General features: G+C 35.8%; 2 long non-coding RNA genes across 2 annotated transcripts in view; one reads left to right on the top strand and one right to left on the bottom strand.

The window, feature by feature from the left end:
- Window positions 1–18,864, bottom strand: part of MMADHC-DT (MMADHC divergent transcript) — a 260,877-nt gene that overhangs the window by 26,698 nt on the left and 215,315 nt on the right. The gene's annotated exons all lie outside the window — the stretch shown is intronic.
- LINC01931 (long intergenic non-protein coding RNA 1931) overlaps window positions 1–18,864 on the top strand; it is a 91,686-nt gene that overhangs the window by 37,655 nt on the left and 35,167 nt on the right. Inside the window, exon 3 of the long non-coding RNA NR_145421.1 lies at window positions 17,317–17,355. This is a non-coding gene — a long non-coding RNA (long intergenic non-protein coding RNA 1931). The remainder of the gene's footprint in view (window positions 1–17,316; window positions 17,356–18,864) is intronic.

Below are 18,864 nucleotides of genomic sequence, written 5' to 3'. Positions count from 1 at the left end.
TCTGATGGCCAGTGATGATGAGCATTTTTTCATGTGTCTGTTGGCTGCATAAATGTCTTCTTTTGAGAAGTGTCTGTTCATATCCTTTGCCCACTTGTTGATGGGGTTGTTTTTTTCTTGTAAATTTGTTTGAGTTCATTGTAGATTCTGGATATTAGCCCTTTGTCAGACGAGTAGATTGCAAAAATTTTCTCCCATTCTGTAGGTTGCCTGTTCACTCTGATGGTACTTTCTTTTGCTGTGCAGAAGCTCTTTAGTTTAATTAGATCCCATTTGTCAATTTTGTCTTGTGTTGCCATTGCTTTTGGTGTTTTAGACATGAAGTCCTTGCCCATGCCTATGTCCTGAATGGTATTTCCTAGGTTTTCTTCTAGGGTTCTCATGGCTTTAGGTCTAACATTTAAGTCTTTAATCCATCTCGAATTAATTTTCGTATAAGGTATAAGGAAGGGATCCAGTTTCAGCTTTCTACATATGCCTAGCCAGTTTTCCCAGCACCATTTATCAATCCTAAGACAAAAGAACAAAGCTGGAGGCATCACATAACCAAAACAGCATGGTACTGGTACCAAAACAGAGATGTAGACCAATGGAACAGAACAGAGCCCTCAGAAATAATGCCACATATCTATATCTGATCTTTGACAAACCTGACAAAAACAAGAAATGGAGAAAGGATTCCCTATAGAATAAAACCATTTTAAATATCACTGTGGTTAGAATCTTTCCTTACTATAATTCTACTCAAAATAGTTTGATTCTGATAAACAAGATCCCTCTTCCTAGAAAAGGTATTCATGCTTTACTCCATCTATAAAGGCATGAGGCACAGACTTCTCTTAGTGAAAAAAATCAGGTGTTCTGTCTGAATAGGAAGCACTTCTAAGCAAGGTAATTATCTAAGGAAAGAACTGTTCAATAAGTCTCCAAAGCTCCACATTGAATTTGAGGAAATCCAGCCAAGGCTTAATTTTAATCATTCAAACTTCATAAAAACTGTATATCATATTTTATAGGATACATCTTTTCTTATTAAACTAATAAGAGGTATATTTTTCCTAAAAATAAGTACTGAAAGTCATTCCAACCTTATGTTTTTCATTCTGGAAATCTCTAGACAGGTTACATTATATTAAGAAGGTAACAAATCCAGACGTATTTCATATATATTTCTTTATTTTTCAGAATACTTTCTAACTCCTTCAGGTCTATCTAATTGATTCCTATCTAGAAGTAAATATCTAAGAATCATCGAATTACAAACTTATATTAGTGGATATAACATAAGTTTATAGTGCTGGAATTACCATCTGTGAAGATCAATTGGATTCTAAGTAGAATTATATTTAGACTGCTTAAACAAATACCTCTGTAACTTTTCTTCAAACATCTTCAGAAGGAAAAAAAATTCAACACAGTTTCTGCAGTAATACATTCTCTAGGTTTTATGTTCAGCTAAGAGATGCTGTATTAAAAAGTAGGTGAATAAAACCTATTGTTTACCTCTTAATAATTTGAGACTACGAGCTTGTTGTAATCTAATCAAAGGAATCAAGCTAATCAAGTAATACAGTGCTTTTTTATTAGCAATTATCAGTTTATTTTTTCAGGAGGATACCATGAATATGAATAAAAGATTATTTGTCTTGATTGCTTGACCCATATCTTCGCCTTTGTCCTGTTTGCTTATAGAACCATTTCTCACTCTTCCCCTGCTCTGTTCTGTTGTCACCACACGGTCGACCCCAGCAAGACTGTGTGTGTGCTAGTTTCTTGCCAGACTTGGTCTAAAGGAGGTACTGGAAATGGATTGGGAGTCAGGGAAGGGGATGATGGGAAGATGGGAGAAATCAGGATATTTTCCTCTCTCCATTCCCAAGAAGAAATTCTGGAGACCTGCATTGCTTCAGATTCTACTAGACAGGTTTGCCAGATGGCTTGGGCACCTGGATTCTGGTAAACCACCCCCTCCCTGCATTTTCACCCTTCAAACCTAGGTGTGGTAGCTACTTCCTGCTGCTGCAAATTCTTGGGTTTCCTCTGTTCTTTGTTTGGCTTTCTAGCTCTTTTTTCACCTGTGTTACTAATTGCCTGGAAAAAAGTCCTCTATTTGAGATACCTAGAGTACTGTGTGTTTTCCTGACTAGACTCTGACTACTGCTACAAATGATAAATAACCTCTTCCCCAAAGGGATTTGCAGCAGCTTACAATAAAGGCAAGGACCATTCTACCAAAAAAATTGAAATATATTTAAGTCAAGAGGTAAATGTGGTGACTGAAAGGCAGACATATATAAGGCTTGAAATTTGTAAATTAAATGGGTTTTGTTTGTAATGGGCATTTTTAACTCTGAATCTACTAGTTAATAAAAATAATTTAAAATTTTAAACTCTTAAATTTAAATAATTAAATTTTTAACTCTGAATCTGAATATTTAATGAAAATAGTTCAAATACATTTGTCAGAACAATATGAGATGAAAATATGTTGGTGGAGGGAGAGGCTGTAGGACAGTCAGAGAAGCAGATCATTTAGTACTAGGCTATGATTTGGGCCAGGCCAAGGTCTGCCTAGACTAAGGGCTATCATATGAGTATCCACCATATACATAGGACAAATGCAAGTCACATATACATGCACTCCCATAGGCATTCCCAGTTTTATAAACAATTTCATTTCTGCCTCTTCAAGAAATACATCATAATGTATAATGCATAGTAATTAATGATATTATATGGGTAGCCTTGAATTCTTCTAATTTGTCTTAAAAATTAAATATTCACAACTTTTAATATTTCATTTTGGTAAAGTAATCAGTAGCATCAGAGGTAAGAAGTAATCGAAGACTCATTTATGTAGTATAACATGGAGAATATCCGGCTTGCACTAGTTGTAGGCACCATATAATCATCAGAGTTGTTATCTCACTTTGAACACATAGATGTAACCTGTATGTTTTTTAAACAGCATCATAAAAATAAACTAGAAGTACGATATATTATATGCTAATAGCCATGGTCACATGTGTTTTCAAGAGTAATAACATCTGGAAATGAAATGACCAATAATGCTAAAATGCTCTGCAAACTATCAAAACTTTGCCTTTCTTTTGAGACCTAAACAAATTAATTGTATCAACTATTTGACTAATAAGTTTCAGATTTATTAGTAAGAATATCCACAATGAGTAGATACAAAATGCCTGATTGTATCTCCACAAAAGGGATAACATAATATTTAAAGGACAGGCTGATATAACTTTGTATAATCATGAGTATCTAGTAAATTCTAAATTTCACTGGGTCAGGAAAGAAATCCAATTAGTACTACAAGTGAGTAGCATCCTTAAGTTAAATCTTTTGTAAGTAAGTTATCATTATTGCATTCAAGACTAACATTAGGCAAAGTCTGCCACCTGTCTCAAAAAGGCTTTATGTTATCACAAGTTTGCAAAAATGAAGAACATGCAGGAATCAACAAGAGTATATCCCCACCAATACAGAAATATCATGATTGCATGGTCTGCTGAAGTTTTCCAAATGCTTTCCTTTTGAAATATAAAGTGTAACATTAAAAAACACATTTTCCCATAATGTATTACTTCATTAAGGTGAAAGTTTCATGAAAGTAGAAATATTTTTATCTTGGTCATTTTTCTCACTGTTTCTGCCCCTTGCAAGGTGCTTAATAAATATTTGTTGCATGAAATAAATATATGAATTAGTTAATACTGTTCTTATTTTAATGTCTCAGGTGTTAAGTGACTATAAAAATGGCTGATAAGATTATCATTTTAAATTAGAATGTATTATAAAAAATCAAATCCAGCTTCATCAGAGACCATTATGAAGGCTGAGTCACCTCCACAAAGTCTCTCTCACTTCTAGAATGATTTTCCAATCTTCTAGCATATCCAATGGGGATAGACCTTCCACTTATGAAAGACAGTGTTTTTCATTTGCTGGATCTCAGGAGTTATACCTTTTCAGACTTCTTCTCAAAATTTCACTCCTCTTACCATGAAGAGCTTACAGATGCCAACATTATAAAAGAAAGTGTAACAATTTCTGTGGGTGGATGTCCCTTTTGGCAATTTACAATAGAGACCAAAAATCCATGTGGTTTGGCTAACCAAACTTTCCTGGAAACAGTCATCAGACATAATAGAAAACTGACCTTGTTTCTGCCAATTTCATTCCTTTCCAGGAATAAACTCAAAAGTAGCCCTTAAGCAAAAGCTCCCCAGTGACATACCCTAACAATTAATCTAATTCTCTTTCCATAAAAAAGTGGAAAATGTCAGCCCCATAACCTTTAAGAGACTGAACACATTATCAGAGTCATTAAAACTTAACAGTTTTTGAAACAAGGCCAAATCCTAAACTTTTGCACTTTTTGTTCCCACTGTAATAGTCACCTCCTATTCAAATATTTGGTAAGGACTACAGACAAATCCTGTTGGGTTTTCTTACTAATTGTTCTAAGTAAGCACCCATGTAACAGCAGTAAAATATGTCAAAAAACAACACATATAACAGACACCAATGCATGGAATTTCAAAGCATTGGACTGTGTCTAATCCAAGCATTTGCATGCTGTCCATCTTTCGTCTGCTGCAAAAATGAATCCTTTGGTTGGAAATGACTGTAACACAACAAATATCATATATCATTTGAGACTCTGCCAGCACTACAAACAACTACCAATTTTATAATGTGGTCTTCTTCCTCCTTTATCTCCTTCCATAAAAGAAACTAAGGCAACAAGCAGGATACATCCAGCTGTGCTACCTGGGAGGAGTCCTCTCTTCTATAATCAAACTCAACAGAAACAGGCCCTTGCTTCTGGGACATCAAACATGAAGAGGCTCCTGTTCTGCAGAAAATAAATAAGGCGATATCAAAGATTTGTAGAAATTTTGATTAAGACACTTTCTCAGTCTTTCCACATAGCAGACACTGAACTACTGACATGTGCTGTAGCTAGAATTGAGCCTGTGGACTTTTATCTTTGCCTTTGAATTCTGTTATATTGACATTAATTTGGACACTCAATAAAAAATTAACAAAATAGGGATCCTTGCATGAACCTAATCTTTGACTCAGAAACCTCATTTATATAATATTATGTTTTTTCTGTCACCTCTTTCTTCAAGAATGAGGCTCATATTCCTTGCAGAAATTGAGAAATCAATAATGCCTAATCAAAAATTATTTTACTCTGGGGAAATATCAAGGCAATGTTTCCTTGCCCAATGATATCATAGTACATATTACCATAATGAAAAGAATGTCTGGTAAAAAAAAAAAAAAAAAAAGAAAAAACTACGCTTTGCCTTATTCTTTCAACTATTCATTTAAGTCTGAAGAGTCAATCAATGAGTAACCAAACCTGAAAGTTATGCAGAAGAATTCAAATGATTAACAACATTAGACCTACCAGGGCACACTTCCAGCCAAAGCCTCTTGGATAAAATGATAGTAAAAAGTTAGTTAAAACTGTAAAGTAATTTCATGGAAAATAAAAGCCTATTTAGAAAATGAAGAACTTGAGTAATATAATTTCACTCAATTTATTAATTTCTCTAATTTCTGCTTTGTTTTGCTGGGGTTGCTTTTGCTGCCAGATTCTTTTGTCTCTTTCTTATGGTTGTCATCTTCACACCCAAGGCTCTGTACCCATGTAACATAGCAAGCAGATCTTTGAGGAAGAAATTATACCGTGTTTCTGAAAGCCCAAAGACACATTTCAGGGTACAGTCATGTTGATCAACAAAAGTTCCCATTAGTCTTGATTACCTAACTATTCCTAAAAAGTATGCTCATAATTTTCCCCCCTAAATTCATCCATTTACCTGCCACAGTCACTTGGTCTACAGATCCAGTATCAACTAGAAGATAGAGCATTATGATAAGGAAAAGACCCACGTTATTACTGTATGCGCATAGCATCTTAGTAGCCCCACTACTAACAAGTGTTAAACAAAAGCCACTATCTTAGTGTTTTACCATGACTCACACTATGAAAACTACAACTTCATTCAAGGGTGTCCTCATAATCATGTTTTAGGTGACACTGATTACATGGTCCATGTCAAATGCCAATGCTGTATTCCTTAATTGATCTGAAGATAATTAACATGATGGATTCAATAACATACCTCATAGACATAGAAATGCTCATTTTACTCTTAGTAGGCATGATGGATATCCCTAAGACCTAAAGCATGATGACGTTTCTCAGATACTGAATTGGACATTGTCCAATGAAGCAACCTAACCCAGCTGAATCCATCTGCTGTATGTAAAGATCTTCTTACATAGCATGTGAATGCTGATTTACCCCTTGGAAAACTCCTTAGAAATTTCAAAAGATTGAGTGGTTCAAGAGTCCTCCCTCTAGCCAATGCCTGGTTTTATCTGGTCAGCCAACCTTTCACTGACACAAGAGTGGTCACCAATAAATCTCAGATTGTAATTATCCACCGGCACTTCATAAGCCCTGGCTACTCCATTTATATCATCAGATCTCTTTGAGGTTTTGTGAGGGTCCGTCTTTAATTTAGATAAAAGATTTCTCTCTCTAGGTTTCTGAAATATGCTCGGGAGAAGGATGAGTTCATTTACTCCTAGAACCATTCTTCATTCCTTCTTTGTTTTTCAAGTGGCATTTAAACAGTCTTTTGAGCTCTAAAGTCAAGGGCAAAAAAGCAACTTCACTTACCTCTGTGACTATAATTCAGAATCTGACACTTTTGGGTGCCTACAAGTATAGAATAGTCTGTCCTGGTATCAGTTAGAGCCAACAATAACAACAACACAAATCACTCACTCAAACTAAAAGGACCCAAAGTATAAATCCAAAGCAAACTGACTGGCTTGTAAGCAAAGGAGAACTTCCCATAAAGAAGAAGGTCAACCTTTAGCCAATATTAATAGCATGCCAATAGTTAATGTCAATAAGTATGGGAGGTGTTCAAGGACATTTCAAGACTGGTTGAACGCTAAGGCAGAATTCTTTTTCAATATGTGTTGTTTTCTAATAAAAGACACTTTTCTAGACCTTGACACTGAATCAAAAGTAGTTTCCTAGTAGCTAACTCAGCCTTTGGGTCTCCACTTAAAACATCACTTTCTTAAAGAAGCCTTCCCATACCCTCCAGCCTATATTAGAGCCTGTGTAATATGTTGCCATATAATCTTTATTTCTGCATCATGCTTATTACAATTACAATTATTTATCCAGTCATCTGCCTAATTCTTATCCCCTCTGCTGGATGTAATGCTTCACTAGGCAGGAACAATGTCTCTCGTTTCCTGACACATAGAAAGCTGCCAATGTTTATTTATTGAATAATCAGTATTTGGAGACTGAATTTCAAGATTGTCATATCTAAAAACTTAAGAGTATTAGACCTTTATCAGTCTTTAAATCCAAACTGGTCCAACTTCAATTCCAATGCAGGAATCCTCTCTTAAAGTGCTTAATTGAGGACAATCTGGTTGTTCCTTGAACACTTCCAATGAAGGATCAGAAAGCAATTTGTGAGACATGATATTCTATCATTCACTACTTGTTAGAAAATGCTTCTGTTGAATGCCTCCTATAACTTCTATCCATGTACCAGTTCCAATCTCAGAAACAATCCAGAAGGAATCCATTCCTTTTCTATTCTGTATTTTAAGTGTACTTAAAATACGGCAAGATAGCCATAACGTGCTGTAGTAAGCCTCTCTTCCTCCAGGCTTAATGCCTTGGTCCTTTCACCTATTCCTTATACAGTCTGGGTTTGGTTCTCCTCACAGTCATTGTTTCTCATTCAGCCTGTGTCCCCATATGACATCCAAATCCCACAGCACTCCAAATGTGGTATGACGCAAACAAAGTACAGTGAAACCATTATCATCCTTGATCTGGGCCCATAATTTTGTTAGTGTAGCTTACCCTTGCATTGTTAGTGATGTCCTACTAAACCCATAAAAAATTGAATCCTAATGGGCTAGGCACATTCCTATAAAAGCTATGATAGCTCCTGGAAATCTATGAGTTATTTTCTTTGCTGTATGTAAGTAACTATATTTAATTCCTATTGACTCAAAATATATATGTGACATAATATACGTTTAAGTGTCTTAAACGGGGCCTATCTCATAACAAAATACAGGGTTTTTTCCCTCTTCTTTTCCTTCTGATTTTTATTTGCCTTCAAAGCTTTTCCAAACAAAACCAGGTCTATTTTTTGTTTGTTTGTTTTAGAGATGAGATATTGTTCTATCTCCCAGGCTGGAGTGCAGTGGTGCAATCATAGCTCTCTGTAGGCTCAAAAGACCCTCCCACAGCCTCCCAAGTAGCTGAGACTGCAGGAGCACATCACGACACCTGGCTAATTTTTTAATTTTTTTTTTTAGAGACAAGGTCTCACTTTGTTGTTGCCCAGGCTGGTCATGAATTCCTGGCCTCAATAAATCCTCCTGCCTCAGCTTCTCAAAGTTCTGGAATTACAGGCTTGAGCCACCATGACCAGCCCAAAACCAGGTGTTTCTATGATGTTTGATGATCACTTCAAATGGTGGAAGTCAAAAGAATTGCCCTGGTCTGCAAAGTGTCACAATGTCATTCTTATTTTGGTAGTGATATATTTTCCAGGCTCTTAAAACAGTGTCCAAGAAGGATGCAATAGGTCAGGTGTGATGGAGACAGCCAGACCCTGTCTCAAAAAACAAAAACAACAACAAAAAAAGAAGAAGAAGAAGAAAGATGCAATGCATCAACCTCTGGATCATGAGCGTCTACGGCTATTACCACAGTAGCCCGGTGGTGCCTCTCCGCTCCACCGGAGCTTATATCTGTCATATAAGCCTGTTGCAGCTCCCCTGAAAAGCCTTAGGGCTGTGAACACAAAGAAGAAACCTGCCCTGTCTGTGGCTCACCTCATGTTTCTAATAAGCTTGCAAATTATACTATGAATTGTTCCATGTGTCCACACTTGGAGCTACTCTGATGCTTTATTTTACTTGGTTTATATGGCTTAATTGGTTTCTTTTCTCCCTTTCTATAAAAAAAGGAACATGTAATACTTTCATCTATTTGGTCATTTAATTATATATTGTATATTATATATTATATACATTATTTTAATGTATATAAAATAATAAATGTCAAATACCTTTATAGGTAACTAACAAAAGAAAAAAGTTGACTTCTGCTCCACCCCTCTCTACTCCCAAGTCCTGATCAGCACAAGCCATCATTTTCGTTTGTTGGAGTTGTATTTTCCTGGCATTCACTTTGTGTTAGTCCATTTGAATTGCTATAAAGGAATACCTGAGACTGGGTAATTTATAAAGAAAAGAGGTTTATTTTGGCACATGGTTCTGCAGGCTGTAGAGGAAACATAGTGCGGTATCTGCTCCTGGTGAGGGCCTCAGGAAGCTTCCAATCATGGAGGAGGGTGAAAGGGGGGCAGATGTAACACATGCTGAGATAGGGAGTGAGAGAGAGAAGGGGACGGTCCCAAACTCTTTTAAATGACCAGATCTTGCATGAACTGACTGAGCAGGAACTCACTTATCACCGAGGGGATGGCACTAAGCCATTGATGAGGTATACACTCCCATGATCCAGTACCTCCCACTAGACCCCACCTTTAACATTGGGGATCACATTTCAACATGAGATTTGGAAGGGACACATATCCAAACCATGTTATGCCTCTTCTTTACAAACAAAATATGTATCTATATCTTGATTTTTCAGTTTTTTTATATTGTCTAAGGCCTTTCAATAATGCAAGCGGAGGATTTGATTCTGCTATGCAAACTTTCACTTTTATCTCTCCCTCTCTCTGAACTTCTCAATATTTTTTCAATCTAGTTATATCATCATCATTTTATCAAATTAGTATTTAACAGATAATCATTTCTATAAATGCTTTTTTTCTTGAGATGGAATCTTGCTCTGTTGCCCAGGCTGGAGCGCAGTGGCATGATCTTGGCCCAATGCAACCTCCACCTCCCGGGTTCAAGCAACTCTCTGCCTCAGCCTCCCAAGTAGCTGGGATTATAGGCACCCACCACCATGCCCAGCTAATTTTTGTATTTTTAGTACTGACAGGGTTTCACCATCTTGGCCAGGCTGCTCTTGAACTCCTGACCTCGTGATCCACCCACCTTGGCCTCCCAGAGTTCTGGGATTACAGGTGTGAGCCACCACGCCCGGCCATTTCTATAAATATTTTATAGCTCATACAGACAATACACTGTGTACGTATTTCCTTTGTTATAAACTTTTTTTTTTTTTTTTTGAGACAGTCTTGCTCTGTCAGCCAGGCTGGAGTGCAGTGGCTTGATATCGGCTCACTGCAACCTCTACCTCCTGGGTTCAAGTGATTCTTCTGCCTCAGCCTCCCAAGTAGCTGGGATTACAAGCACATGCCACCACACCCACCTAATTTTTTTGAATTTTTGGTAGAGATGTTGGCCAGGCTGGTCTTGAACTCCTGACCTCAAGTGATTTGCCCACTGCAGCCTCCCAAAGTGCTGAGATTACAGGCATGAGCCACCCCACCTGGCCAACATTTTATTTGTCTTAGAGTTAGTAATTGCCTCTCTTTTTTTTAATTCATTTTGCTTTAAAGTAACAGTAGTTCATCCACAAACTTTCAAACAGAACTTTAAAAGTATGCCTTAATTATGAGTGTAGCACAAATCAGGTAAGCTTTCTTTTTAAAAAATAATTATTTAAATTGACAAAAAATTACATATGTTTATAGTGTACAACATGATGTTCTGAAATATGTATACAGTGTGGAATGGCTAAATCAAGCTAGTTAACAGATAGATAAGCTTTCAATACCTACTCAATATTCTCCCTTGTTCCAATTTGGACTTGCTAAAACAGTTTTCCTCAGATTTTCTTTCATCATTATTCTGGAAATTCTCTTCCTCTTCCTTCTGTTTGGCCTGTGTGTTTTGGATCCCATTTTTACTCTTTCTTGGTTTATTTCACTTTGTTGCTAGCAAATCTTTCAATGGTGTTCTGGAAAAGGTTGCATGGTAAGTACATTTTTGAGATGTTGAATGACTGAAAAGTTTTCATTTCTGCCACTTTTTTTTTTTTTTTTTTTTTTTGAGACTGAGTGTCGCTCTGTCACCAGGCTGGAGTGCAGTGGCATGATCTCAGCTCACTGCAACCTCCGCCTCTTGGGTTCAAGGATTCTCCTGCCTCAGCCTCTGGAGTAGCTGGGTCTACAGGTGCACGTTACCACACCCAGCTAATTTTTCTATTTTTAGTAGAGACAGGGTTTTACCATGTTGACCAGGATGGTCTGGATCTCTCAACCTGGTGATCTGCCCACCCTGGCCTCCCAAAGTGCTGGGATTACAGGCGTGAGCCACTGCGCCTGGCCTCTGCCATTACACTTTATTGATAATTTATCTGAATATGGTATTCCAGGTTGAAAATTATTTCCCCTCAAGATTTTTACACACTGCTGTACTGTTTTCCAGGTTTCAATAGTTCTGTTGAAAAGCTAATGCTATTCATGTTTGAATTATTTGATATGATTCTCTCCTCCACCTCTTTTTTCTTCTTCTCTTTCTCTATTTCTCTCTCTCCTCTCCTCTTTCCTTCTCTGTTTCTCACTTTCTCAGAACTTTAAAGATTTATTTTCTTCTTCCCTGATGTTCTGACATTTCATGATCCATTTCTCTAGTACTGGTATTTTTTCACGGACTTTTTTTCTTCCTAAACTCCTGGTAAACTCTTTCAGTCTAAAGACTTGTGTTCATCAATTGTAGGAAATATATTACTTCTTTGAAAACTTTTCTCCTTTGATTTTTTGTTTCTTTTTTGGAATTCATATTATTCAGTTTTTGTATCTTTATGAAAAATATTATTTTCCTAAGTTTTCCTCCAAATTTTTTATTTTTTGTCTTTTGATTCTTATTCTGGGACGATTACCTCAAATATACATATTCTAAACTTCTAATTGATTTGAAGGTTTCTCTTAGCCTGCATGTAGTATGCAAGAAATCTATCTTGCTCAGGAATGCTCTCTTGTTAAAAGATCCTGTTCTTGTTTCAAATGCAGTATCTTATCTTACTGATAACTTTAATTGTAGTTCATTTGTTTTTTAAGTTTTATTATTTTATGAACTTTGTTTCCTCTGAGTCCTCCTTTTCTACTTTTAAATTTTGGAGTTTATCTTTCATATCAGAGGCTTCAAATGTCTGGTTTTCCCTGGCCAGCAATCTGTATTTAAGAATGCAGTCCTGAAAAAAAAAAAAGGATCGAAAACTCTGCTTGGGTAACGAAAGTTGTGGATTGATAGGTCTCTCCATGAGTGATAAGGTAGGGACCACGCTATTTCACCTGAGGAGTCCCAATTACAGTTTTTATAAGCTTTTTTATTTGACCCAATCTTTTGAGGCAAGGATAGGAACCCTCCTGCTAAATTATGCTGCCATCAGCATCCTGAGAGTGAAAAAGGAAAATGGGACTCTCCAGACAGAATACAGACTTTTATTCAGTCTTCTTTCAAATTCAGGGTCACACCTTGCCCTTAGCTTTGTCTGCTGTCCCTGCAATAAAAGCCTCCCTGTATTGACTTCGCAAAAAAGAAAGAGGAACTTCTTTTTCTCTGCTAGGGTGGGACTTAGAATTTTTTACCTAGTTGTGAAAGCTTGGGGAAATAATCTGGGAGTCTAGTTCCTCCTTAGATAGAACTTTCCACCAATCTTCCGGATTTTGGCTTCAGTGTCTAAGCTCAGTTTAGAAGTATCTAAAATATGCTAAGACTTTGGGAGTTATGCAACATGAATTGGTAGGCTTGTTTTTAATATACCTCCAAATAAATTATTCTTTCTTAGGTGTAATTCATCAAATATTGCTTATCTATTATTTTCCAAATGAAAATATTTGAATATAAGTGTATGCCATACAAAATTAAGACATACTTATCTAAAAAATTAGTTGTTTATCTGAAATTCAAATCTAACTGGGTGTCCTAAATTGTTTTCAGTCAACCAAATATGAGGGAAAGCAGGGTAAGGAAATGTTAGGAATGCTGATATTCTCATCTTCCAATGTGGAGAATCAAGAGGTGGTGTCTGGATTTGATAGAACAAGAAATTGATATTTTAAATATAATATTTAAATCAGGTAAAAAAGTTATTAATCCAGAGCTTTTTTAGAGATAGAAGAAACAGGATGTGAAAAGTGCTTTGAATAGTATCTTCAGCTATTATAGCAGAAAGTCACTAACTTTCTGTTAGCATCTAAAGTTTAGAAACAAGAAAAGCAGCCCGACATCACGGCAACCATCAGGAAAACTTAAAGGAGAAACAACTGAATAATAATTGTTTCTGGGCACCAAAAAGTTGGTTGAAATGACATATCGAGAAGATTGTGGATTTTTCATGCTAGCCTTGTTGTATATTTTGCTTTTTAAAATATCTATTAACTTAGATTAAAAATTTTAGATTTGTTTTTTAAAAATGTCTTGACCGGATAATTTTACTTCTAGTACAGTGTTATGAAAGGAAAATATCTTGGACTTCCGAAATCACTAAGGAAAACTCAAGCTGGTAGCTTCTTAGGGCAAATCTGACTCCTGTTCTATTCAAAGTCACCCCTCTGCTCACTGAGATAGATGCATATCTGATTTGCCTCCTTTGGAAAGGCTAATCAGAAGCTCAAAAGAATGTAATAACCGCTTGTGTATCACCTATCTGTGACCTGGAAACTCCCTCCCCTTTTGTGGTCCTCCTGCCTTTGCTTCAAGTTGTCCTGCCTTTCCAGACCCAAGGAATATACTTCTTACATATATTGATTGATGTCTCCTGTCTCCCTAAAATGTATAAAACCAAGCTGTGCCCTGACCACCTTGGGCACATGTCGTCATAACTTCCTGAGGCTGTGTCACGGGTGGGTCCTCAACCTTGGCAAAATAAACTTTCTAAATTAACTGAGACCTGGCTCAGATTTTCTGAGTTCACAGTGTTTATTCTTAGAAAGTGTCAGAAGAATTGTGCCCATAATAAGTGTATATAACCTCGGCTTACGAATACATTCATATACATCTTACATTTTGAAATGTAAGAGTCAGAATAGCTTAAGTTTCATAGAGAGGTGTCTATTGGAGAAATTGGATTTCTCTTTTGTAAGAAGGGACTTTTTCCTAGGGAAAATGTTGCATATGAGAGCAAAATTCCCAGCAAGTGATGATAATCTTGCTTTCATGAAAGAGCAGTCAAGAAAAACACATTCATTTGTCTACTTCCAAAGCTTGCTACACTTACTGTCAGATATCTGAGCAATATTCCTATTTTCATTAATGATTAAATAAGTAATTGTTTCATTAGTCTTAATCTTAGGGTTTACTATAATCTAGGTTTCATGAATAAGCATACTAATTTGTCTGATTAATTTCCTTCCAGGAGTAATTTCAGTTAATAAGAGAGATAAAGGCAATACACAGAAAACGTAAAATTCCCGTAATTACTAACTAAAGTTATGAATATAAAATTATGCAATTTCCAAAATGGGAAAGGATGAAAAATAATGGAGTTGCATACATCTGATACATTTGCATAATAATATTAAACAAACTTAATATGTAATATATGGTCAATGAATCTACTTCAAGTAACACTGGTTGACCTCACACACACAAAACTGCTGATGTAGCCTTTCGTGTTCAATAATGTAAGGTCTCTGATTGCATTTTCCTGGCAATAAAGCAAATAATATTACTCCATACCCACTACATATGATGATTTTATAAGTAACTGGTACTTCCTAGAAGCAAAAACATTTGGTTTGTGGACATCCAAATCTATGATGAAAAGCATACATATCTATAAAATATTGAAACCAATTTCCACAAAGCACACATAAAATTCAACCTCTTTACCTCTGAGCCACGCGTTGAATACTTGCTCTTCTCCATTGTATTTACAAAGGTATACCTCGATGAAAAGAAGAAAATGATAGCAATGCTGTGGCTCCAACGAAAGTCAGAATTTCCATGAATTATTTATGCCTAAAGATTGGTCCTACTTAGGATTCATAATATACTTCACCTTATTTTACAACAGAAAGAGAAATTATGGCTCGATTTACTAAAATAATTATAATCATAATCACATCTGCTCTTGAAGACTGTCAAACAGCTCCATAGTGTACCGCATACATTTCCTCTACTAGATTCCCTCTTTTATGAGTTAATTAAACAATTTCACAGCATTATTTGTACAACTATTCTGCATGGCATATTGTTTGTGCAGAACATTCTCTTTAATAGCTCTATTCTTCAAACAGATGTTCATTTAAATTTTTTTCACAGATTTTATTTGGAAAACAATTAGTGAATTTATCCTACTATACTGTCACCTTTCTTCGGACTTAAAGCAGCTCTATCTCTACATTAGGAAAATCCTATTGTGGCTTTTCAATTTTGGAGGAAAAAAAAAAAAACACTTTAGCAAATGTCTATGGTTAGTGGGCAAGTTTGCCAGAGCAAATTGCCCCCAAATGATGGCTACCCAATGTTACTTTGGTACTACAGTACAAAGTCAGTAAGAAGTTTTCTTAAAAGCATGGAAAAATAAAAATGCATGATGACACATTTCTCCACTCTATTCCTTTTGTTTTTATAAATTTTGTCTTATACCTCCAAGCATTGGACTCACTATAAACCAGAGTAAAATGACAGATTAAAGGGAATGAAATGGATGCAAGACCACTTTTTATTTATCAAAAGGCAACTGAATTAATCATATCCCAAGACATATTTTCCTGGGAAAGTGACATTGAACATTGTTATGAATTGGCTTCTCTTGCCAAAACATTTTAAAGAAAGAAGATACCATCTACCATATATTTTGAGGTGGAAGTTTCTCTCCCTGCTTGACTCCAATTAAATTTTACACGGTTTGAGTCCCCGACCAGGTCTGTTTTGTGCAATTCATTCAACAGATTTATCTCCTCTTTATTATCTCTGTCTTAGAGAGCTACAACAAGGAGTCAACCGCATTCACGAGTGTGGATGTTGCATCTCCAGTGAAGAAGGACCATTCTGTTTTCCTTTTGTGAATAATTTCCTGCAGGGAGCTCAGAATTGCCCTCTTTTACTCTCATTTACATATATAGTGCTGCAGAAATAAATTTTGCCCTTGCTTTTGAACTATAAAGTAATAAATTATGAACATCTATCTAATACTTTGAAAGTCTAATCTGCATTCACTTAGATGGAAATAGTGTTGAGAAAAATGAAAAGCCCATATGTTTTCAAATATTTGCTTTTCTTTCTTTTCTTAACCAGAATTTGGTGATTCTATTAGAATAAGAAAACCTGAAAACTTTAAGCATTAGTAAATATTTAAATTATGCTTACAAAAGGAGCACCTTACAGTTTAGGTTAAAAATGTACAAAATATTAATTAAAGTCCTAGAACAACTGCCCCATGGTTCCTAGCTTCCTCAGTTAATACAGAAGAAACTAAGTAATAAATCTTTAATTTTTTTTTTTTTTACCTAGACCTTCTAAAATTTCTGAACAGGAATGGTCTGTAGGAATACGATTTTAGAACAAGCTTATGAAATGCTGTCTTGGGAAAATGGATTTCTCAGATGATTAAGATCACTGCATGTATTGGGAGGGCATTTCTCACTGTCATGTGAATAGTGTGCAACTGGCAGGGAATGATGGTGGAATGGAACATATATGACAGATAGCCAGAAGCAGAACACCATAGTCATTCTAAAAGGAGCCCAGGTACTGTTTAGAATGGCAGCAATTTGAAAACCACCTAAAATGTCTTAGTGAAAGTGGTTTATAAATGGCTTATAATATGTCTAATAATACATATAATACTCTTTGCATATTAAAAATGATAATATAGTCATATGCTGCATCACATTTTGGTTAACAATGGTGGTCCCATAAGATTGTAACACTGTACTTTGACTGCACCTTTTCTATGTTTTAGACAGGGTTAGATACACAAACACTTGCCATTGTGTTACAATTGCCTACAGTAATCAGTACAGTAACATGCTGTACAGGTTTGTAGCCTAGGAGCAACAGACTATATCATCTAGCCTAGGTGTGTAGTAGGCTATACCATCTAGGTTTGTTAGTATACTCTTTGATGTTCACGCAATGACAAACTTGCTTAATGATGCATTTCTCAGAACATATTGCTAACATCAAGCAGTGCATGACTATGTATTTTTACTTATTAGCACTAAATAATGATTACCTTCTTATAATGATCACTTAAGATAATAATATATTCAATTTCCTCAACAGATCATTTAGACTATGATCATTTAGACTGTATCACTTTTGGTAAGTATTGTTTTTCATAAAATTTTTCCGTTTCATCTATACAGTAGATGACTAAAGTTTTTCAATATTGTCTTTTTAAATGTTGTTAGCATTCATACTAATAACCACTTTTTAATTTCTGAAATTGTAATTTTTTTCTCTCTTTTCTCCTGGTCAGTTTTGTAAAGGATTTATCAATTATATTAGCCTTTTCAATAAATCTAATTTAGTTGTCGATTTTCTCTGTTTCATATTAGTTTTCTATTTCATTGGTTTCTCAAATTTTATTTGATTGTTATAAAAACACTACTTCATTGATTTCTTACTTTTAGAATTTCCTTTTTTCTATTTCCTTTGGCTTTGCTTTGCTTATCTTTTCTTGTGTTCCTAACATAGAAGTTTACAGAATTCATTTCCAGCATTCTATTTACTCAGTAACTTTCTGTTAGGAAATACTGCTTATGTTTTTATATAATTTGCATCTGTATTGGAAATTATTTAGCTAGTGAATTTTAACTACAAAAATAACAACAATATTAACATTAGGTTCCTAATAGCTGACACTTCATCAAACTATACAATAAATATTTATTGTCTGTCACAGGCCAAGAGCTGGGGACACAGTGGTGAATAAGACACAGGCCTATCCTCATGAAGCTTATATTAATGGGGGACAAAGGATAATAATCACATAAGCAAACAAATAAATACATGAGATGATGCTACACATGCAAATGTTTATTGATTACCTACTCCTTGACAACCAGTGTTAAATGGTTGTGACTTTTGTTTTAAAATTAAGAAGTGCCAGGAGAATCCAGAAATAAAGCTGCACACCTACAGTCATCTGATCTTTGACAGTCACCAAGAATAAGAATGGGAAAAAGACTCCCTATTCAATAAATAGTGCTGGGATACCTGGGTAGCCATATGCAGAATGAAACTGGACACCTATTTTCACCATATAAAAAAAATTAACTCAAGATGGATTAAAGATTTAAACGTAAGTCCTCAAACTATAAGAATCTTAGGAGAAAACCTAGGAAACACCATTTTGGACACTGGCGTTGGAAGTCCTCAAAAACAATTGCAACAAAAACAATAATTGACAAGTAGAATCCAATTAAACTAAAGCACTTCTGCAGGAGGAGGCTGGTGGGGGGGACTATTGGCCAGGCGCAGTGGCTCATGCCTGTAATCCCAGCACTTTGGGAGGCCAAGTCAGGTGGATCACCAGGTCAGGAGATCGAGAACACCCTGGCTAAATGGTGAAACCTTGTCTCTACTAAAAATACAAAAAAATTAGCCGGGCATTGTGGCGGGTGCCTGTAGTCCCAGCTACTAGGGAGGCTGAGGCAGGAGAATGGCCTGAACCCAGGAGGCAGAGCTTGCAGTAAGTGGAGATCTCACCACTGCACTCCAGCCTGGGTGACAGAGTGAGACTCTATCTCAAAAAAAAAAAAAAAAAAAAAAAAACACCTATCAACAGAGTGAACAGACAACCTACAGAATGGAAGAAAATATTTGCAA

This window comes from Homo sapiens, chromosome 2, assembly GCF_000001405.40.
Source record: "Homo sapiens chromosome 2, GRCh38.p14 Primary Assembly".
Taxonomy (NCBI): Eukaryota; Metazoa; Chordata; class Mammalia; order Primates; family Hominidae; genus Homo; species Homo sapiens.
This window is presented reverse-complemented; position numbering and strand designations above follow the sequence as displayed.